General features: G+C 50.8%; 1 protein-coding gene and 1 long non-coding RNA gene across 5 annotated transcripts in view, besides 2 other annotated features; one reads left to right on the top strand and one right to left on the bottom strand.

Moving 5' to 3' along the window:
• Positions 11–300: an enhancer, noted in NCBI's record as "active region_15482". NCBI's record gives its function as "activates an Ori minimal core promoter by ATAC-STARR-seq in GM12878 lymphoblastoid cells {active_cell/tissue: GM12878}" and the evidence as "EXISTENCE:reporter gene assay evidence [ECO:0000049][PMID:35858748]".
• MAPRE3 (microtubule associated protein RP/EB family member 3) overlaps positions 5,669–22,935 on the bottom strand; it is a 56,583-nt gene continuing 39,316 nt past the window's right edge. Inside the window, exons 1-7 of one of the 4 annotated variants that reach the window (NM_001303050.2) lie at positions 17,904–18,134; positions 10,549–10,676; positions 9,411–9,556; positions 8,591–8,792; positions 7,151–7,305; positions 6,856–7,008; positions 5,669–6,608 (exon numbers count right to left, since the gene is read on the bottom strand). In NM_001303050.2, the coding sequence (NP_001289979.1) occupies positions 6,540–6,608; positions 6,856–7,008; positions 7,151–7,305; positions 8,591–8,792; positions 9,411–9,556; positions 10,549–10,669 (846 nt within the window). In that variant the 5' untranslated portion in view covers positions 10,670–10,676; positions 17,904–18,134 and the 3' untranslated portion in view covers positions 5,669–6,539. Of the gene's footprint in view, positions 6,609–6,855; positions 7,009–7,150; positions 7,306–8,590; positions 8,793–9,410; positions 9,557–10,548; positions 10,677–17,903; positions 18,135–22,935 lie in introns of those variants that run through there. The other 3 variants (XM_047443728.1, NM_012326.4, NM_001410716.1) reach the window with 3 other exon arrangements.
• Positions 7,905–8,695: an enhancer, noted in NCBI's record as "H3K4me1 hESC enhancer chr2:27247061-27247851 (GRCh37/hg19 assembly coordinates)". NCBI's record gives its function as "activates a minimal SCP1, AML or CMV promoter by ChIP-STARR-seq in primed H9 embryonic stem cells {active_cell/tissue: H9 hESC(primed)}" and the evidence as "EXISTENCE:reporter gene assay evidence [ECO:0000049][PMID:30033119]".
• Positions 18,300–22,935, top strand: part of MAPRE3-AS1 (MAPRE3 antisense RNA 1) — a 29,817-nt gene continuing 25,181 nt past the window's right edge. Inside the window, exon 1 of the long non-coding RNA NR_149018.1 lies at positions 18,300–18,387. This is a non-coding gene — a long non-coding RNA (MAPRE3 antisense RNA 1). The remainder of the gene's footprint in view (positions 18,388–22,935) is intronic.

Genomic DNA, 22,935 nt, shown 5'->3' with positions numbered 1-22,935 from the left:
ACTTGTAGTCCCTCTCCTGGGCCGGGCTCTCCTGAGCGAAGAGCATCGGGAAGAGGCTTCCGCGGCAGCCTGCGGCCCCCGCCCAGGCGAAGAGGCCGGGAGGAGAGGAGATTCCCTTCTGAGAACGTTCATTGAGCGTCGATGTGAAGGCCACGGCATTGAGAGACTTGGTAGAACTGTTTCTGTTTTTCTTTCCTTTATTGATCAATTGATTGATTGATTGCCAGGGCCGCGCTCTGTCGCCCAGACTGGAGTGCAGTAGCGCGATCTCAGCTCACTGTAACTTCCGCCACCCAGGTTCAAGCGACTCTCGTGCCTCAGCGTCCCGAGTAGCAGGGACTACAGGCTCCCGCTGCCAAGCCCAGCTAATTTTTGTATTTTTAGTAGAGACGGGGTTTCGCCATGTTGGCTAGGCTGGTCTCGAACTCCTGACCTAAAGTGACCCACCCCACCCCCACCCCTCAGCCTCCCAAAGTGCTGGGATTACAGGCGTGAGCCACGGCGCCCGGCCACTGTTTTTCTTTCCTTTCTCGTAGAGCTGGAAGGATGGAAGGGAAGTAGTGCTCCTCATATCTAGGGAGAGATTGAAGATTAAATGCTTCCTTCCTTCTAGGAAAGTGCTGGCTTTACTGTTGCTAGTGATTAAACCTCGGGTTTAATGGGCTATACAAATCTATTGCCAAAGAACAAGGAAGAGGATGGGGGCTTGAGGAAAGGGCAGAGTGTTGGGGAGCTGGGGTAGGAGGTGGAGAATGGAGAATAATTTTTTTTTTTTTTTTTGAGACAGGATCTTGCTTTGTCGCCCAGGCTGGAGTTCAGTGGCGCGATCACGACTCACTGCAGCCTCAACTTCTAGGGCTCAGGTGATCCCCCACCACGGATCACCTGACCCACCACCACCCCCGGCTAATCTTTGGTATTTTTTGTAGAGACTGGGTTTTGCTGTGTTGCCCAGGCTGATCTCAAACTCCTGGGCTCAGTGATCCACCCTCTTCAGCCTCCCAAAGTGCTGGGATTACAGGAGTGAGCCACCGCTCCTGGCCTCTGAGTTCTTCTCATGGGAGGCTGAGAAAAGTCTGGGGGTCTGGGACAGCCAGGGCCGGGTTTCCCCTTCCAGGCAATGAGAAAGAACAGGCTCTGCCTCCCACCATAAGAGTCAATCCCAAGTTCCAGATGTGTCAGGGAAGCGATGGAGAGCCCCAGACTTGAGGCATCTGCAGACAGGTTCCTGCTCAGACATCCACGTGGAGGGTGTTAGTATCCTGGGAGCCTTCAGAACCTTGAAGCATGCCAGCAGAGGAGAATGAGGGAAGATAAAATCAAAGTGACTTATCACAATTAAGGAAATGTGCTATTTCATGTACAACTGTGTGTGAGGATGAGATTCCTACCTGCCATACTGAGGTATTATGATAAGAACTAAGAGAGTCCAAATTCCTACAGGATGAACAGCTGAGGGAGCGATGCATTCCTTAGGAAGGAGTTTAGCTTCCCGAAGGAGACGGCAGCTGAGATAGGTTCTGAGAAATAGCATTTTCATTGGTTCCCCGGGCGCCGTGGCTCACGCCTGTAATCCCAGCACTTCGGGAGGCCGAGGTGGGTATCACCTGAGGTCAGGAGTTCGAAACCAGTCAGGCCAACATGGTGAAACCCCATCTCTACTAAATACAAAAAAGTAGCCAGGTATGATGGCGCAGGCCTATAATCTCAGCTACTTGGGAGGCTGAGGCAGGAGAATCGCTTGAACCTTGGAGGCGGAGGTTGCAGTGAGCCGAGATTGTGCCACTGCACTCCAACCTGGGCAACAAGAGCTAAACTCCGTCTCAAAAAACCCAAAACAACAACAACAACAAAAAACAAAATTGAATGTTCACTGGCTGAGGGTTAGGGTGGGTGGAGAGAAAATGCCAGTTGTGTGGATCTGTTGATGTAAAACAAAGGCCTAGAGGGTGGTAAACTGGAAGCAGTTCAATGGGACAGTGCTTGATGGGACTTTGGAGGTGATGAGGTTTGATATAGTTTGGATTTTTGTCCCTGCCCAAGTCTCATGTTGAATTGTAATCCCCAGCGCTGGCAGTTGGGCCTGGTGGGAAGTGTTTGGATCATGGTGGTGGATCCCTCATGGTGGATCCCAGTTCTCATGAGATCTGGTCATTTAAAAGTGTGTGGCACCTCCCCACCACCTCTCTCTCTCGCTCGCTTGCTCGCTCCTGCTTTTACCATGTGATGTGCCTGCTCCCCCTTTGCCTTCCGCCATGATTGTAAGCTTCCTGAGGCTTCCCTAGAAGCAGATGTCAGCATTATGCTTCCTATACAGTCTGCAGAACTGTGAGCCAATTAAACTTCTTTTCTTATAAATTACCCAGTCTAGATGTTTCTTTATAGCAATGCAACAATAGCCTCTTATGAGTTTGGAAAGGGATCTGAGCCCATATGCCAAGGAACTTGCCTGCCAAATCTGGACTTTATCCTTCAGGCCCTGGGAGACCAGTGAGAGGGTGGCATAATCCACTCTTTTGGAAGGGTAAATGTGGCTGTGTGAAGTGTTGGTAGGGGAAGGCAGGGGGTGGGAGATGAGCATATCTTGCTGCCTCCTTCTACCTGTCCTCCAGCCCCCTTAGGCCTGACCATGGCTGACTTTGCATCCGGTAGCTCTGAGATACAGTGCCTTTGCCAAGGACCATATTTGAACTGATCATTAATCAATTCATTTTGCAGATCATTGGTTTAGGTGTACTCAGGAGACCAACAACAATATCTTCTCTTTGTTTGACCCCTCCTGTGTCACATGTATGATCACAGAAGAGACCATGTTTTTGGAAGAGAAACAGAACTGGCTTTCCATTGAGGCAAATGAGGGGGCTGCCCCATGGTGGAGACACACAGAAGGGTGGGAGAGGGACTCTATCTTTCATTGGAATAGTCTAGTAAGTTACCAGTTCTAACTTGGCATCTAGGACATATAAATCATGCATTTACTTATCCAGCAACCTTTTCTAAGCACCTTCTCTGTGTCAGGCCCTGTGCTAGGTGGAGCTGGAAGATATAGCTCACTTGCTTGTAAGGAACTTGAAGTCTGTGTGGGGGACAAATGTATAAACAGAAAATTACAGTTCACCATCTTAGTGTTCCAGAGGAAAGAAGCACTTAGTATGAGGTACCAGGAAGAGGTGGGGAGAAGGGAGTGGCTTTACATCCTTAAGTTCTGGGTGTTTGAAGAGCAGCCTTAGACACTAGCCACGGAGGTGGGCTTGGGTAGGCCCCGCCGTGGGGTTTGAAGACCCAAAAGATGTTGGGTCAAGGAGGACATGGGTGTCTAGTGTGGGAGCAAGCAGAAGGGTGAGCTCACCGAAGCACTGTTTTACCCACTGTACTACGTTTCTATTGCTGCTAAAACAAATTGCCACAAACTTAGTGGCTTAAAACAAGGGCGTTATCTTCCAGTTCTGGAGGGCAGGAGTCTAACTCAGGTCTCCCTGGGCTAGAATCGAGGTGTCAGCAGGGCTGGGTTCCTTTCTGGAGGCTTTGGGGGAGCATCCATTTCCTTGCCTTGCCCAGCTTCTAGAGGCCACCTGCATTCCTGAGTTCATGGCTCCCTTCTGTCTTCAAAGCCAACAACAGTGGGTGAGTCACTCTCACATTGTTTCACTTTGACCTCTTCTTTTATTTTTCTGAGACAGGATCTTGCTCTGTTGCCCAGGCTGAAGTGCAGTGACATGATTATGGCTCACTGCACCCTTGACCTCCAGGGCTCAAATGATCCTTCCATCTCAGCCTCCCAAGTAGCTGGGACTACAGGCATGTAGTACCATGCTCGGCTAATTTTTCTATTTTTTGTAAAGATGGGGTCTCGCTGTTGTCCAGGCTAGTCTCCAACTCCTGCGCTCAAGTGATCCTCCTGCCTTGGCCTCCCAAAATGGTGGGATTACAGACATGAGCCACCACACCCTGCCCACTCTGACCCTTTCTGCCTCCTGCTTCCACTCTTATAAACGTTTGCGATGACATTGGACCCACCTGGATAAACCAGGACACTCTCCCTATTTTAAGGTCAGCAGATTAACTTCCTGAATTCCATCTGCAACTTTTTTTTCTTTTTTTTTTTTTTTTGAGACAGGGTTTCAGTCTGTTGCCCAGGCTGGGGTACAGTGGAGCAATCATGGCTCACTGCAGCCTTAACAACAACTGGGCTCAAGTGATCCTTCTGCTTCAGCCTCCTGAGTAGCTGGGACTACAGGCACGTGCCACAACGCCCTTCAAATTTTATTTTTTGTAGAGATGGTGTTTCCCTATGTTGCTCAGGGAAGTCTTGAACTCCTGGGCTCAAGTGATCCTCCCGCTTTGGCCTCCAAAAGTGCTGGGATTACAGGCGTGAGCCACCGCACCTGGCCCACAGGCAGCTTAATTCCCTTTTGCCATGTAACCCACATATTCACAGCTTCTGGGGATTGTGATGTGGACATTGGGGGAGGCACTGTTCTGCCTCCCACACCCACTTTACCTTCAGGGTGAGGTCTCGGCCTGGCCTATCCTTTCATGGTATCTACCTGTAATCATGGGGAAAAGCCTTTAAAAATTAGGCAAGGGAATTAAAATCATCACGATAAGTAAAAGCAGGCAAGGAACTTGCTGGAGGAGAACAGAGATAGAATAAGGCAGAAGTGTCTATGTATGGGGGGGGGGAGTCAAAAGGGGTGGTGGAGGTGATTGAGGAATAAACAGATATGAATTGCTTATTTAAGGCTTGAACCTGGTGTCATGAGAGAAATGGTGGTGGTCTCAAAAGGGGCCATGGGGTGGGGCCACAGAAGAGACACGGCCCCATCTGCATGTTGACCATACTCAGGGTGGTGAGGAAACCAGCGCTGTCCTGCAGCTGGGGGAACCTCAGTGGTCTTTGGGGATGAGCCCTGAACCTCAAGTCAAGAAGTGTGAGTTCTAGTCCAGGTTTCAGCCACGGTGATTGAGTCATGCACGTGGGCCTCTGACCCCTCATCAGTAAACCGGGGGCTGGTCTAGATGACCCCAAGGCTCTCACATTCATTTCTGCACTCTTGGTCTCTGCTGGGCTTCTGGGACATCGGTTAGTATGGCCTTTTGTTAGGCACATGCCAGGACTGGGGCTGTGCAGGTGATGTGGAAGGGTTCCTGATTCCCTGTTCCCACTGGAGCCTGCTCTACAGAAGGAACCCCTTGGATGTTGCTGTCCCGGGCTTCAGCACTCAGAACTCCTTGCTCTTTGTGGCCATCCCAGCTCTCTCTGTCACGTGAGCCCTTGTCCCCAGCTGAATCACTATGATGAGTTGTATGAGCTTTGACAACAGGTGGGGGATGACATGCAGTCCCCCTGACCCAAAGGAGACTGAAACGAAGCACCTCTTGGCCAGGCCACCACGGTGCCCCACAGCCGCTTCACCGGCTGTCCCTTGTCATGGCCACGGGCCCAGACCTAGTTCCTCCTCAGTGACGGGGGGTTGGGGCCCCTACCTGCCCTCAGAGCCCTACCACCAGTGTTGGGCATTGGGGCTAGGCTGGAGCTGGGCTCTGAGCCCAGAGCTGGTGGTGGTTTCCAGGCCTGTGGGAGGGTGACAGTGAGGCTGTGCTGCCGCTATCACCTCCGGAGAGAGCGGTGCATGGGAGGTGGAAAGCACTGGACCTGGACTGTGGCTCAGTTGAGGGACACATGGCATGTACTTTTACCACACAAGTTTATTTAAATAAAAGTGAACACATATGCAGGCTGGTGCCCGAGGGGCAGGGGGTGGGGAGGGCAGGTGGGAAGCAGACAGACAATGGGGTCCAGGCAGAGTTTGTGTGGTGAACCAGGCTGCTGGAGGGAGTGGCTGGGGGCCTCAGGGCAGCGCTGGGATTCAGTGCTGGGGCAGGGGGCCTTGGGTGGGTGAGCCTGGTGCCAGGAGGTCATTTCCATCCCTCACATGCCCCCCTCCCTTTCCCTGACCCCCTGGGCCTACAGCACTACCTCCTCAGCCCCCTCTCCCTCTCCTGACATCAGCCTTCCCCTTAGCTACTGAGAAGCCAAAAGACAAAATAAATTAGAATGGGTGAGTCCTACCCCAGCCCCCAGCCATGGGGAAGGGAAGCCAAGCCAGGCACACTGCGCCGGAGCCCGTGCTGTCAGCTCTGGAAAAGAACAGGTAAAGTGCAAGGAGAATCCAGTAAGTAAAAATATACCAATGACTTTGTCAAATACACAGCTGCTGGCTGTCAGGAGCAGGTGGCTGGCTGGGGCGGGTGGCAGCAGCACCCTGGGAAGTGTTGGGCGACACAGCAGAGAGACAACGGAAATAAATAGGGTGGGTGTGGACAGGGGTCCCACCAACTGGGCCAGCACCACCCAGGACGGGCTTCTGCCTGCTTTCCGGCCCCATGCCCCCAAGCCCCCCTCGCCTGGCTCCCCAGTGCTGCAGCACTGACACAAAGCACCCGGCCGACCGTGTTAGGAAAGGACTATAATGTGGGAGTGGAGCAGGGAGGGAGGCACGGGGAAGCTGTGCAGTCAGCCAGGGCTGCGGCCGCCCTCAGTACTCGTCCTGGTCTTCTTGTTGATGCTCTTCAATCTCATCGTCCTCAGGGGGTGCGAATCCTTCCTGGAGGGTGGGAGAGAGAGGAAAGTGGTGGGCCAGGCAGGCCAGGCAGGGCTTCTCAGGTTCTGTAAGTAGCTGAAGAGCAAGGGGTCAGGAGTCCAGGAGCCCTGCTAATGGGTGACCCTGGGCTAGTGACTTCACCTCTCTCTCATCAGTAAATGTTCTCCACGGTCCCTTCTGGCCCTATCGCGCTTCTGGTCTTAGGGCCAGGCCAGACTGGGGAGGGCCCAATGGGCCTGGGAGTGCTCACCTCTGTGGCATAGAGGATGCCAATGATGCCTGAGATAACAGGGCTGTTTTCACTTTCATGCTCCTGGCAGATGAGCTCGATGTCACGAAGTTTGCTGAAGTAGAAGTCACGTTCCTTCTCCAGCCCATCCACTGTCAGCTTCAAGTCCACCAGCTGCTTGGGGACAAAGTGATGTTCAAGCCAGAGGTCCCCACCTCAGGTTCCCCTGCCTGCCCTCCTCTCGTCCCTGCAGACACCCCAAGGGCCTGGCTTTGGTGACAGGGCTATCTCAGCTACCCTTACCCATCCCACTCACCTGTTGGTTGAGTTCAAGAATTTGGGCATCAGTCTCATGGCCGCCATTTCGGGCTGATGGAGGATTCTTCCGGAGAATGCAGGGGGGGGCCACATTGCTCAGCCGGCCAGAGGTCTGCATGTTTTTTGGGCCTGTGGGGGACGTCCTCTGTGGAACTGCCCAGAGGAAAAGAGTCAGGTAAGTCCACGTGAGCCCACAGCGCACGTGGCAGGAGACAGCCTGGTGTGAGGACTGCGGGGGCAGGCCCATGCGACAGGCAGGCACTCTCACCCCCCTGCCCCCACCCCAGGAAGGGCATCTACAGCTAGGCCCCGAGTCTTGGCCACATGGACACTCCAGCAGCTGGGCAGCCCTTTGGCGAGCCCGGGAGAGCAGAAACTATAGGGAACTAAACAAGGTGTGAGGTGTTGGGGCAGGGAGAGAGCTGGCCTGAGGGATAGAGGAGAGAAATTAGGACGCAAATTTGGGGAAGTAGAGTTGGAAGGGTGCGGGACCCTCTCGTACTCATAGCTAGAGGAAAGGCAGCTGGCACAGGGTCTTTCCTAACAGAAGCCCCAGCCCAAAGCCATTGTCCCTGGGTGGCTGCCCCTCCAGGGGCCCTGTGTCAGGATGGGCTCTTTTGCCCTCTGCTGGGCTGGACCAGGTATCTGCACAGTGGTGGCCAAATCAGGGACCCCAGCTCCTCCCCAGCGCAGCCAGCATGCCGTGGCGACTTGCTCACTAGCGACTGCACCTCCCTAGACAGAGCGGGCTGCTTCTAGTGCAAAGCAAGCAGGCGGGCGAGTGGGGCAGGCCCAGGCAGAACAGCAGTGCAGACAGAGGAGGTGGCTCTGCTATGACGGGGTCCGACGCGGGCTGGGGCTGCTCCTCTCCCTTCCCCTCCCAACGCTGCTGCTTCCCAAAGGCCCTATTGCTTTTCTCCCTTCCCCTCCAGGACCCAGACAAAGCCTCGTTTCTAGAGACTCATCTTTTGAGGACTTAGGACTATTGGGCCTTTAGAGTGGGGAAAGGTGTGATCCAGCTTGGCAACTCCTGCCCCTGGCCATCCAGGGGGCAGGGGGCAAGAAGGGGCTGTGGTGCTGGCACCAGGCTCTTGGTCTGGATGCACCTGGATGGAGAAACCAAGCCACCTTGCTGCCCCATCATCTTGAGGCAAACAAGTTAGCTCGTGCTATGAAACAAAGTGCCTTGGGCCTCCTACCCCAGTTGCCACCATGGCTGGTGCTGGTGGCTCTCCTCTTAGACCAATTTGTGGAGCTCTCTCACCCACTACTTTCACTCCCCCGGTCTAACTGGCCAGCAGGCGGCGTCATCCGAACTCCGTGATAACAAGTCTCCTCCAGGCTGGCAGGGCCGGGCCGTGGCCCAGGGGGCACTCCTGGCTATAGAGGCCTGCCGGCCCGGCCCCCCACGCTCCCTCCCCCGGCTCGGGCACGTTACCTGCTGTGCCAATGAGTTTCTTGGATTTGTTGAAGATCTGATCACCTGGGTTAGGAGGTGGCGCTACGTCCTGGCCCTGCCGCGCCAGCAGAGGGTTGTAATCCTTTCCATCATAGTTTGCGTCAAAGAATTTCTTAAACCACTGAATAAACTCAAAATTATCTTGGAATTTTCCTTTCACTAATTTCTCTACAGGAATGATCTGAAATAGACCACATAAGCAGAGTACTTTAGCCACCTGCTGCTGTAGGACCGCCTTCCTCTGCTGAGGGCCACTGCTCTCAGGAAAGCCAGCCCCTGGGCTGCAGCGTCCTCCACCTTCTCCACTTGCCCCCCTCCCACGGCACCAGAGCAGACAGGTAGGCTGGTAGGCCCTAGTGTCAGATCCAGAGGCATCCCTTCTCTACAGGCACCGTGTGGAAGAACTGTGTGGGGAGGCGTCCCTTGGCTCTACTGCCTGCGTGTGGGCTGGGGGTCTGCAGCCACCGAGGCAGTAGAGTGAGCAGAGACACTTTCTTGGGCCCTACAGAGACAGAGAGAGGTGGAACTTCACAGGAGCGGTGCACAGAGCTCAGTGTTGGGGTGGGCAGGGTCCAGAGAGGAGGAAGGGAAAGGAATGTTGTCATGATGGCATGGCAAGTGTTGTGGGCTTTTCCATTGTGCCTTGAGCAGGGGGAAAATTCCCTCTGGAGAGTCGGGAGGTGGAGGGAGGCACGAGCACCGGAATGACCCCAGCAGCCCCAGTTGCCTGGGCTGGTGGGTCCTCTTCTTCCCCAGGGTCACACTGCTCCTCAGGGCCCCCCAGAGCGCAGGCACCTACTTTGTCAACACCCATCTTCTTGAAAGCTGCTTGCAGCACCTTGAAGTTGTGGATGTATTCGTGCTCTAGTTTGGCCTGGAACTTCACTTTCCTCAAGTGCACACAGCCGGGGAAGAGCATGTCCATGAACTGGCAGTAGGCTGCCCCTGTGGAGAAGGATGGCTGGCTGAGGGGTCTTGCTGCTCTCCTTCTGTGAGCTGCTCTCTCTCACTTCCCCAAACCCCGTCTCCTCTTCTCTCTCCTTGTTCTGGGCCAGGGACCAGTCCTACTTTCAGGATAGACATGGCCAGAATCCCCCCAGCTTTCCAAGAATAAAAGCAATGACTATTTATTGATGCGTATTATGAACCAGCACCACACCAAACACTGCATGTAGGTAGGGCAATCCCAACAGGAACTCTAGTTAGTTGGTGATACTATCTCCATCTTATGGATGAGAAAACTGAGGCCTAGGGCAGTATAGTGACTTGCCCAAGGTTGCACCACCAGAAGAGCTGAGAGCTGGACCCAGAGAGGTGTGGTCAGACCTGTGGCTCTGCTGCCATCCTGGCTCTCAGCTCCCCGCTCCTCCTTTCCCTGCAGTCCTTCATGGTGCCTCTCCTGCTCTTCTCTTTCCCTGCTTCCATTTCTTGACTTCAGCTCCAGACAGTCTGACTAGTTCAGGGCCTCCAGCTCTCCTCCTTAATCTAATCACAAGCTACAGCTATGGGCTGCATAACGATGGTTTGGTCAACGATGAACCACATATATGATGGTGGTCCTACAGGATTATAATACCATGTTTTTATTTTATTATCACCTTTTCTATGTTTAGGTATGTTTAGATGTGCAAATACTTACCATGTGTTAAAACTGTCTGCAGTATTTAGTACAGAAACATGCTGTCCATGTTTTTAGCCTAGGAGTAGTAGGCTATACCATATAGCCGAGGTGTGTAGTAGGCTACACCATCCAGGTTTGTGTAAATACACTCTGTGATGTTCACACAACAACAACATCGCCTAAGGATGCATTTCTCTGGCCACATCAGTCATTCAGCCATGCATGACTGTATATTCCCTGTTGTGGCTGCTCTGCCTTCCGACCTTTCTTTCCTTTCCTTCCAGCAGGGCCACTTCCCATATTCCCAGCCTCCTACCTGAACAAAGCTGTTCTATCTTGGTATAGTTGAGGTGCAGGGAGTCGTTGACCCATGCAAGCATATCATGGCGACTCAGATTTTCACTGGTCACAGATGTGGAGTACACATTGACGGCCATACCCCAGCTGGAAAGCAAGAAGAAAGGTGAGGTCAGCACTGGGGCCTCATGTAGCTCCTTAGCTGTCAAGAGAGAGGGGCTGTATGATACTGGGAAGTAAGAAACATTCCCTCCAGATTGGCCTCGCAGTTTATCCCCAGAGGGAGGGTCTTTATTCCTTAGACATTTCATGAGCATCTACTATATGCTAGACGTGCACCAGGAGCCAGTAATTCCAAGTTAATTAAGAAATGGCCTCTGCCTTGAGGCATTTACAGACAGGCAGATCCCCTCAGTAGGGAGTGATGAGGCAGTGAAACAGGCACATAAATGTTCAGGGACAGCACAAAGAAGGGTGTGAGCGCATCTGCTGGGCAGGGTCAGCGAAGGCTTCAGAGCAGAGATGTTGGAGCCTGAGAAGAATAGGAATTTTCCAGACATAAAAAGGGATGGGTGGAAGGCATTTCAGCCACAGGGACTAGCAAGAACAAAGGCAGAGCTTATTCCGGGCACTCTGAGTCGTGGAGCAGGCCCGGGGAGCAGATTTTTCTGTTGGGGTGTGGCACAATGAGGTTGGCAGGGACAGGTTGCCAGGCCCTTGTTTACCAGAAGGAGGAATCTGGACTTTCTATTTGGATGACAGGAAGCCATTAGAGGGTTTTAAGCGACAGTAACCTGACCAGATTTGTGTTTTAGAAAGCCAGCTAACCTTTGCCTCTGCTCCGACTTCAGACTCCACATTCCTGTGGCTGATGCAGAGGCATCTAAATTCTGCTTGTCCACAACCTTTCCTTAGAATATGCTTCTGGCTCCTGTATTCATTATCCCAGTGAATGTCATCACCAGCAATTAATCACCACCTTAGAAACCTGCGGGGTCATCCCAGACAGCTTACTCTCCCTCATGCACCTATCAAGTCATTCCTCAAGTCCTGGAACCCGACTTCCTCAATTCGCCCTTTTCTGCTTACCCTCAGGATTTATGCATACCGTTGTCCCTTGGTATTCATGAGGGAATTTGTTCCAGAACATCTCCCCATACCAAAGTCAATGCACAGTCAAGTCCCTTATATAAAATGATGTAGTATTTACAGTTAACCTACACACATCCTCCTGTATGATTTAAATCATCTCTAGATTACTTATAATACCTACTACCATGTCACTTCGATGTAAATAGTTGTTATACTGTATTGTTTAGGAAATCATGACATGAAAAAAAAGTCTGTAAGCAATGCAACAATCCTTTTTTTTTCCTGAATATTTTTGATCGGTATTTGATTGAATCCACAGATGTGGATCCCACGGATGTGAAGGGCTGACTGTATTTTCTCTCTAGCCCAGGCTAGCAGGAGCCTCCTAAAAGGCCTTCCAGCCTCCAGTCTCTCCCTCCTCTTAATCCATCCTTGACATTGCTGTAGTCAGAATCTACCTAAAAGCAGGTCTGGCCACCGCCCTCCCCCACTTCAAGTCCTTTCAGCCAGCAGTCATAAAAGAGACACTCCTTGGCCGAATTTGCCTTGCAGACTTAAACTGTTCAGCACTCATAGTGTTGGAAACAGTTTTGAATTAGTGCCCAATATTTTAAAGTTCAGATGTTTAACAACTTGGGATTTCTGGCTTCTTTTGGCCACTCTGACCCTATGCTCCCGCACTGAAACCAGCAGTTGGAGTGGAGCCAGCAGTGAGCCTCCTTCCCACCCCAGAGGCCAAGGGTCAGCTGCTGCTGCTAACTGACTTGCGCTGTTAAGAAAAGGACATATTTCTTGTAACCACATCTTTATCAGAAATGGAAAAACAAGATAGGTCAAAAGGACTGTGTTTTCCGAGAATTGTGAGGACATGTGTTTCTGGAGTGAGTGAAGAATATTTCTTCAGGTTTAATATGTAAAGTGTCTCTGTGAAATAAGATACATCTTATACACCTTATATTCTTACAGAAAGAATATTTCCCTGCCTGTCGCAGGCATCTGCTGTTATCATGTGACTCCTCCTGACCACTTATCAAACTCATAAGGGGACCCCACCTCTTCAGCCTTATCTCCTACTTTGATTCCCCAGTTAGGAGCTATAGGCAGCTTCCTACTCACCCTCTGTCTGGAATGCCGTCCCCACCCCAAAGTTCATTCATTCTCTGTTCCATGGTTCTCAATTGTGGCCCCAGACCTGCGCAGTGGGACTATATGGGGATCAGCTGGTTAGAAATTCCAATTCTCTTGTCCTCCCCCAGACCTAACTAAATGAGAAACTGCCTTTGACCAAGATGCCCGGAGGATCTGCAGGCACAGTCCTGTTTGAGTAGTACTGCTTTAGACAGGGAGGCTCAGCAAGGCATCTGCAGAGCTGTGTGCCACTTACGTTCCCACCCCTGACCCCAAGTACATAGGACAGAGCATGTTTAACTTAAATGAATGCTTTGAAGAAAAATCATGAGAGAAAACCCTCTTCTTTATTCCTAGTTCTTCCTCCTTTGAAAAATAAACCTTGTCCTTCATTGCCCAGGCAAAGGGAGGCCAGGCGGGGCCAAAAAGCCAAGAGAAACAGAAATGAATTATTGTCTTGGGAGCGCCTAAAGACTCAAGACCTGGCAATTTCAGAGCTTTCCGAGAGTAATGTTGACTGCACTTGAGTTTCCTCCTCCACAACGTCTCTGCGCCCACTGCCCTGCATCTTGGCCCTTGCGCTCACCATTGGACTTGTTTAAATGCCTGCGCCCCATGTCTTGAAGCCAAGAGTGGGGTATCCAGGCCTGTCACAGGCAAGACGTTCAGTAACGTTGAACCATTGAGTGATGCCTCATGTCCTCTCCTCTTTCTGAATCATGTCTCATCACCTTCTGGCCTGGGTCCCCCTGCCATCCCCCTGCCATACCCCCACCATCCCCCCGCCATCCTCCCTCCCCCAGCACTCAGCCTCAGGACTCTGCTTTAGCTCCAGGGGACTTTTTCTGACCCCCTCTGTGGGAGACATGTGCCCATGATCCTACAGCACCCTGGGCACGGCTCTTCATGGCATCCCACATGGTCTGTTGAAATCATGTGTGTGAGAGCGGGTGCGGTGGCTCATGCCTGTAATGCCAGCACTTTGGGAGGCTGAGGGGGGTGCCGATCACCTAAGCCAGGAGTTCAAGACCAGCCTGGCCAACATGGCAAAACCCTGTCTCTACTAAAATTAGCCAGGCCTGTAATCCTAGCTACTAGGGAGGCTGAGGCAGGAGAATTGCTTGAACCCAGAGGTGGAGTGTTGCAGTGAGCCAAGATCATGCCACTGTACTCCAGCCTGGGTGACAGAGCCAGAATCCATCTCCAAAAAATAAATAAATAAATAAATAAATAAATAAATAAAAATGTGTGTGCCTGCCCCTTCCACCTGACTGTAAGCTCTTCAATGGTCAGGCTCTGTTCCATTCACTTTCGGGTTCTACACCAGTTCTTGGTGGATAATAACTGCCTAACCATATTGGTGGAGTGGAATTGCAGACTGGAGTCAGGGGAGTGTTTCTGAGTTCCCAGGATGCACCTAAAGTAACAGGAGGAGGAGTGGATGGGTGGATGGATGCTAAGCTTGCCGAAGGGGCAGAGTGGGTAGGGTCAAGGAAAGGGCATCTGATTTTGATGAGTATTATTTAGTTGTGGACTGCAAGAAATTGAAAAGATTTGTCCCTGTCCTCAAGGAGTTCATAATCTTATTGGGGAGAGTAATGCACACATGAGAACAGTATAACCAAATGCCCCAAAGTGTGCTAGAAACAGCAAGTGCCACAAGAATAGGGAAGGAGAGGGCATGCAGAGGTAGAGAGATGGATGTGAATGACCCCAGGGCCACAGTGGTCAGACTCTGCCAGGTCCCCAGGGAGGGTGCAGAGGACGGCCAGGAGCTGGTGCAGAGGGCACCAGCTATTCCGGGAACTGTCCAGAATGACTCTGCAGGAGTGTTCCACAGGCTCAGAGACTCATTTCCCTATGAGGCCCCTGGGGCAGAGTGATTCTGGGCCAGCTGTGGCTGACAGGCCTCAGAGGGGCTGATCTGGTCTTGGGTGGTTCTGGGGGCAAGGAGTAGTCTTAGGTTGGCCCTGGGAGTTTCCGAGCCACTTTAGGGACTTTGTTCTGCTTAAAGTGTATGAATTTCAAGGGGTGACTACTGAAGAAAAGGAAAGGCAATGGTCTTAGTCCAAATATATCCTCCAGTTTTTGATTGAAATCATTTGAGCCTCAAGGGTCTTCCAGCCTGGGGGCAGCTTTCCTGGTTCCACAGGATTGGACCTGCTAATGGTTCAGGCCTCTTCCATGCATTGCAGAGATTCTTTACTAGGAGAGTCCACTGGCTTCTCCTGCAGAGACTTCAAGAGGCTACAGTGCAGCCCAAGTGTGTGTGTGTATGATATATTATATATACATTATATGTTATATGCACATATTTTACACACACACACACACATAATTTTAAAGAATAGCCCAGATGATTCTGGTGCACAGCCCTGTATGAGAACCACAGCCTTCATTTGATATGCATACTTAGCTGTGATTTACTGGCTTTTGTTGCAATGGCAAAGGCTGGAACATTGGGATGTTCTGCCACTTATCTGGGGGGAAAATACTAGCCAGTCCTTGGCACACAGGGAAAATCTCCAGTTTCCCTGGAGTTTAGAACACAACTAAAGGCCTTGCTTTTAGGGCTCCCAAGAGTCACTAAGAGCCACATAGCGGCTTGAAAAATGCCCAGGTCTTCTCAGCATTGACCCAGTCTTGTCAATGCCTGATGAAGGGAGGGCATTTTCCATACCTTCGGTCTGACTCTAGGGTCCCATGAGTGGCAGCAGTGCCTGTGTGAAGGAAGCTGGAAAAAATGGCTCCTTTCAGGACCCAGCAACGAATCATGCTGTTACCCACTATGGGGCTTCTGGGGAAGCAGGTAGCTAGTAGCAGGAACACAGCTTCAGTCCCTACTCAGGACTCGCTCAGGTCCTCACAACTGGTGCTACACTCTGCCCTAATGGGGGTCCATTTGGCTCAGGAGGACTCATCCAGGGCACCCAGGGGTCTCTGCAGGAATTCTCTGCTGCACCTGCTAGGGCAGCATGAAGTAACAGCCTCCTTGTTTCCTTTGAGCAAACATCACATTGGGGAGGGCAGGATGCCCTTTTAATTTTCCTCTCGTAGCTTTGGCTCTGTAAGTAGAACTAAACATGGCCAGCAGGTGGCACCCAGGTCCTGAGCAAAAACTCCTTTAAATGTATCCCCCATCCCCCAAACCCCCTTTCCAGAGCTCAGTTTAGAGCTCAAATTGGGAGCCTCTAAAAGCTGGGCTGGCTGAGGGGCCTGGAGCATTGGGGCTGTTCTAAGATCCTGGACTGAACTAAGCCAGCCTCCGTATCCCCTAAAACCACAGTTTGAACTCACCAAAGAGGTCCAACTTCTGATTGGCTTTTGCATTGGGGGTTGACTTGGGCCTGGACTCACACCAGACCAGCTGCTGGGGGCAGAGGTGTATAAAGTATTTGCCCAAGCATCAGGGTCTAAGTGGACCAGCTGCCTCCAATTACAGCAAAGACATAACCTGCCAGGCGCGGTGGCTCACGCCTGTAATCCCAGCACTTTGGGAGGCCGAGGTGGGCGGATCATGAGGTCAGGAGATCCAGACCATCTTGGCTAACACGGTGAAACCCCGTCTCTACTAAAAATACAAAAAATTAGCCGGGCACAGTGGCGGGCACTTGTAGTCCCAGCTACTCAGGAGGCTGAGGCAGGAGAATGGCGTGAACCCGGGAGGCGGAGCTTGCAGTGAGCCAAGATAGCGCCACTGCACTCCAGCCTGGGCAAAAGAGCGACACTCCATCTTAAAAAAAAAAAAAAAAAAAAAGACATAACCTGACGAAACTCTTAATAATAACACACTTGTTCCCAAGAGCTCCTTCACCTCCCCGGAGAGAATGGTAGGTAGCCACTCGGAGGGGGCAGGCTCTGTCCCAAGAGATGTAGTAGCAGTGTCTTCCAACCCCATCCACATGTTTCTACCATGATCTTTGGCACATGTGACTGTCAGGAGAAACAGACCCTGATTGGATTGTGGCATGTCATCATCCAGGCGGATCCCCATTCGAGGATCAGACCGACAACGTGGCTTTGGGGAAAGCCTGCTCTGAAGGGCCTCGACTCCTGCTATCAGGAATGGAGCCAAGGGAAAGAAAAGTTGAGGAGGTTTAATCTGGTGATTTTGCTGAGTCATTTCCTATACTAGGACTGTAAGGTTCATGGTGCATTCACAGGCAACTGGGAAAGGCAATTACAGCTCTCATTGCGGGAGGGGAAGCTGCTGGTCATTCTGCAGACTGAGGCCTTAAAAATGGTCATCAAGACCAAATCCCACTAACCCATGGTCAGAAGGGTTTCTAGAGACCATCTGCTTCCTTCCCAGGCGATTAGGACTGCACTTAGATCTAGGCACTTATATTCTTAAATCATAAAGATGGCCAATAAGTCTGCACAACTGAAATTTCACATTCTATTATTTAATGACCTTATCACCAGCCTAAATCTAATTTTGGCTTTTTGTTTTTAAATCTGTCTTCCACAAATATGTCTTAAGGGTAATTTAGGGGCCCTCAGTCTTCTCTAATTCTCTAGAGCTCTTTTTACCCCAAGTTTAGCCCTGTTCTGGCTGGTCCCTGGAAGAACCCCCTGCAGTTTCCAGGCCTCCACCCTCTGCCCAGCGTGGCTATGAAAGACACACCAGGTCTACCAGTCCTGAAGGAGGTGGCCAGCATGCCTCCAGCAAGCTCCAGAAAGGTAGTGCTTAAGAACACTAGATCTCCAGGCACATCAGGTGGGTTCAAATCCTAGTTGTACCATGTCCTAGCTGTCTGACTTGACTTTAGGTCTCAGTGTCCTCATCTATAAAGTGAGGACAGTGACAGCTCCCACCTCACAGAACAGTTATGAGGATTAAGTGAGCCATGTGTACACAGTGCTGAGCACAGAGCCTGACATTCAGTATGTATTTGGCAAGTGCTGTCAGCATCGCGGGGACAGACAGTGAGAATCTAAGGGCATTTGTTCGAGGAGTAGGTGCCTGACACACAGCCAGCCTCTGGTCTCAGACCATGGAAATGCCAGTCCAGAAAGGAGACAGACTACAGAACTTTTCTCTGCTGCTTTGCCTTGAGACAGCCACATGGGCTTCCCAAAGCTGGGCTCTGACCACAATCCCTCCCCAGCTCCAGATTTCCCATATAGCCTGCTTTGTAGACGCCATCCTACCGGCCAAGACAACTGGAACAGATGCTGTGGGATCAGAAGAGAGAGAACTCCACAGAGCCAGCCAACACGTTTCCCGTTCCTGAAGTGGGACTATGCCCATTGTCACTGGGCTACCCCTTCCTGCCCAGGCCCGGGGGCTGAAGTCACCTGTTTGGAAAATCTGCAAAATTGCTACCCCTACCCCTGTGAGTCACACATCCAGGTTATTCTGGGCTTGCATGGAGGCAGTATGTGCAGGTGGGGCTGAGGGGTTCTGAGGGGCTGGGGAGCAAGCCAGCGGGTCACAAAGCCCTGGCAGACCTGGCCAATCACCTTCTTCTTATGGCTGAGCAAGGACCTGATTCATTGAGAGGCTCAGCCTCTCAAAGCTGGATTAATCAATGCAGAGACGGGGCAAGTGGAGTATTTGCAGGGTTGGCCTGGAGCCCAGCATGCGCCCCCTCCCACACATCCAGGACAGGGATCTGGACGGCTGTGGGTTCAGGTAGGGACTGAAACTCCTCCAGGATTTTGTTCTCACAACACTTTTAGGTCACAACTCTAAGACCCTGAGCCCTGCTGAAGTTCCAGCCACTGGGATCCTGGACATGTCCTGCTGAATAATGATCTGAACTCTTACTAAGGCTCTCCCCAGGCTGGTTGGGATAATGGTGCCACATCCCTGTAGCTGCTAGCCAGGGAAGGAGTCCTTGGGGTAGGTTCTGGCTAGGTCACCCTATCTGACCATAACTTCGAGGGTTAACGGAAACCCTGCAGTATAGTAAACAAAATTTCTCATCGCTAAAATCAATCCATTTCAGTAGGGTTCATCTAGGTGGGCAGATAGGCAATATTTTCTTTCTAAACGTTCTTTGCTGGAGATCTTTCAGTTCCTCAAACACCTACTTTTTAGGTCAACAAATGTCCATGGAGTCACCCATCAATCCAAGGCTCCCAGCAGAAGGCAGACAGTGTGACTTGGCTACAGGCTTTGCCATTCGCTGCCTGTGAGACACAAGCAAGTAGGCGAAGATATCCAAGCCTCAGTTCTCATGAAGCATCAGAATGATGGTATGATTGAGCATGGGGCTGTTGGAAGGATAATGAGTACCGCTGGCAGGAGCCAAAGGTTCACCATCACGCTGCTTTGGGGGCTGAGCAACCTTTACTGATAGGCAAGATCACTGACATAGACATATCTGACTCAACATCTTCTTTCCTGCACCCTGACCCAATTCCCACAGACCCTCTGATCAGGGTCCTGAGCAGGGAGAGAGTAGGGACAGCCTTGGGTATCCACTCTCTGCTGCCTCAGGCAGAAAGACAGAGCTGTGCTTTTGAAGCTATGTTGCCCATTTCTTCCCTCAATTAGTACTGGCTCAGGGCTCAGTGCACAATAGCTTCTCAGTACCTATATATTTATTGAATGAATGAATGAATGAATGGGAGAGGTTAAACTAGGGTTTGGGGGGTTCAGATGGCAGGTGGACTCAGAAAGTGTGGTTTTCTGCTTTTATTTCTTGTTTGTTGACCCTGAGGAGGTGCCACTGGCTACATGGAGAAGCAAGGAGAGGAGAATGCTAGCTGCACTCCCTGGCTACACGCAAACAGATGCAGCACGAAGCCTTGGGAACCTTGGCAAGGGATTTAAACAGTCTCCCTCTAATGCATATAACATGGTGCTGCTGGATTTCCCAGAACAGGATTTTAAGATGGTTCCGAGAGTGGAACCTGGTAACTCCTGGGAGCACCTCTCTGCTTGGTCTGCTCTGGGGGTGGGCTGCTGGCCCATCTGTGGCTAGCCTCAGGATAGAGGGAAGGGAGCTGCAGCAGCTGCCATGACGTGTTGGGAAGGGAACTGTCATGTTTGCAGCAGCCCTGGTGGGTCTGATGTTTTTTTAATTATCCTTCAAGTTCCAAAAGCACATCCATGTCTCTGGGGACACATAACAAGCCATGTCACTTTATGTTCCTTTGGAACTATGTCTCTTTGGACTGTCTGGCTTATAGTTGTTGTTCAGGGCCAAGTGATGTGTCACCCTTCTCTGAAATGTCTGCATCCTGTGAATTGTTTAGCCTACTTTCCCCTGACCCCAGGCTCAGGCCCCTCTTCTCTGCTCTCACCATACCTTTCACCCCACATCCAGTCCCCTCCCAAAATCCTCCCAGTTTTACTTCTGTGCCCTTTTGAGAGGGCACAGTCATTTATACTTTAAGCTTTCCACCAGAAAGTCGGATGCTGAAGATGTCCAGGACAAACTTAAGTTTCAGTGTTTGTTGAACTCTCTGTGCCCTCTCCAGTAGACTGCCTTTCCTCATGCCCTCAGACTCTACTCTACCTGCCTGTTCTGCAGGACTAACCCCACGTGGAGACAGTCAGCCCCCACCCCAGTGGGGACATGCACTGGAGAGCTTCCAGAAGGCCTGCAGATAGCTTCTCTCCTGCCCTACCATAGTGCCCGAAATTCCCACCAGAAATGCCACTCTTGTGGATTACAGCATCCAGCTCCAGAAAGCCTTTGAGTTGTTACCTCAATTTTGCTTTTGAGGAAATGAAGGATGAGGATTCCAGTGACTTTTCCAAGTTCAAGATCAACCACTGGCAAGATCAGAGCTGAACCTGGCCAAATGAACACAAATCCCATGCTCTTTCCACACCACCACACTGGTGCAGGAAGGACGATTTGATTTTTCACAGCTCTAGAGCAGGATGACTTGCCCAGATTTCACCCCTTGAGAATTAGGAGGAGGGAAAGGGAATTTCAGAGGATTTCTTCTTCTTCTTCTTTTTTTTTTTTTTGAGATGGAGTCTTGCTCTGTCACCCAGGCTGGAGTGCAGTGGCATGATCTCGGCTCACTGCAACCTCCACCTCCCAGGTTCAAGCAATTCTCCTGCCTCAGCCTCCCGAGTAGCTGGGATTACAGGCGTCCATCACCATGCTTGGCTAATTTTTGTATTCTTAGTAGAGATGGGGCCACCATATTGGCCAGGCTGGTCTCAAACTTTTTACCTTGTGATCTGCCTGCCTCGGCCTCCCAAAGTGTTGGGATTACAGGCATGAGCCACCATGCCTGGCCCAGTTTTCTTCTTTATACTTATTTTTTCAAGACATTGCAGCATTGCCTTAACCTCTCTCTTTCTTTTTTTTTTTTTTTTTTTGAGATGGAGTCTCGCTTTGTTGCCCAGGCTGGAGTACAATGGCATGATCTCAGCTCACTGCAACCTATACCTCCCTGGTTCAAGCAATCCTCCTGCCTCAGCCTCCCGAATAGCTGGGATTACAGGTGTGTGCCACCACACCCAGCTAATTTTTGTATTTTTAGTAGAGATGAGGTTTCACCGTATTGGCCAGGCTGGTCTTGAACTCCTGACCTCAAGTGATCCACCTGCCTCAGCCTCCCAAAGTGCTAGGATTACAGGCATGAGCCACCAGGTCCGGCCTAGCATTGCCTTAATCTCGACCAGCAAGTGCTTACTGACCACTGACAAAATGCTCAACACCCAGTGAGGCATCATGAGGACATGGGATCATTTCAAGGCATGGGTCTTGTCTTTATTAAGGAGCTTTTCTTTGGTTGAAGAGGTAAGAGTAATTTATAAAATAACAAGGGACGCCACAAAGCAGAATATATGAAGTGCTAAATAGTGAAAGCACCTTTGGCTTTTAAGTGTTCCAGGCACATGAAAAAGATGAGAGGGGGATCAGCAGTTAGAGGGTTTCTGGAGGAAGGTGGCACCTAATTGGGCCTTTAAAGATGACAGGATGCCAGAAAGCAGCGAGGAGAAAATGGGAAATTCTGGACATGGGAAACATATTTATTATTACTTTTATTTTAAAAAAAGAGCATAAGACCAATGACTCAGTCCTGGAGGAATGTTAGGGACGCGATGAAAATAGAGGAGGTGGAGAGAAGGTGATGTCTTAGGAGCCAAGGGAGGGCCCACTTTCAAAGAGGAGGTCATCTGCCCTGTTTAATGAAGCTACCAGACCAGAGGTGGCGATATGGTCATTAAATTGTGCAATAAGAAATGATGAAACTCTGAGTCATTTTGTTGGAGTATGGGGACAGCAGCTAGACCTGCAGATGATTGTGGAGTCCTTGATCACTTGCCCAGGAGGAAGCTGGAGAGGGACATCAGGCATTTGTCATCACAGCCATGTGTGTCTGCTGCAGCACTTCAGGTAGATAGTGAGTGACTGCCTGCAGGGTGGAGAGCATTTTGGTTCTTTCAGTTAAAATTTGAAATGAAATATAGATTGGGCCCGGGTGCTGTGGCTCATGCCTGTAATCCCAGCACTTTGGGAGGCCGAGACAGGTGGATCACCTGAGGTCAGGAGTTCGAGACCAGCCTGGCCAACATGGCAAAACCCCACCCCTACTAAAAATACAAAAATTAGCTGGGTATGGTGACACGCACCTGTAATCTCAGCTTCTTGGGAGGCTGAGATAGGATAATGGCTTGAACCCGGGAGGTGGAGGTTGCAGTGAGCCAATATCACACCACTGCACCCCAGCCTGGGCAACAAAGAGTGAAACTCCATCTCAAAAAAAAAAAAAAAAAAAGAAATACAGATTAAAAGTAGGCTTGTGCTCCTTATCTCAACATCTCACCCATCCCCCTTCAGACTCCATATCCTACCCTCAAGTTCTAGATTTTATCTGTCCAAGAAGACCCATGAGTGCGACTCACGATCTTTCTCCAGCTACTCACAACACTGTATCACAAATGAAAAGCAAGATAAGAAATGTGTTTATATAATAAAGTCTTAACTAAGTTGAATGTTTGGAAAATAATGTTGTACATATTGATTAACTTTGTTTAACTGTGGTTAATCAGAGCCCTTTTTAATGTTTGGTTTTGTGGAAAATTACTGTATTAAGGCAGGAAGAATAGACAAAATTGCTTTCTAAGGACATTGCAGAGCCTCAGATTCAATCAGTCACTCATCACCATTTGTGGAGTGTGTGCTTCAGCACCCAATGCTGTGTGCCAGCCCCTGTGCCAGCACAGGACCTATAGGAAGAAATGAACCCACTCTGGGCCCTCGAG

This window comes from Homo sapiens, chromosome 2, assembly GCF_000001405.40.
Source record: "Homo sapiens chromosome 2, GRCh38.p14 Primary Assembly".
Classification (NCBI taxonomy): domain Eukaryota; kingdom Metazoa; phylum Chordata; class Mammalia; order Primates; family Hominidae; genus Homo; species Homo sapiens.
This window is presented reverse-complemented; position numbering and strand designations above follow the sequence as displayed.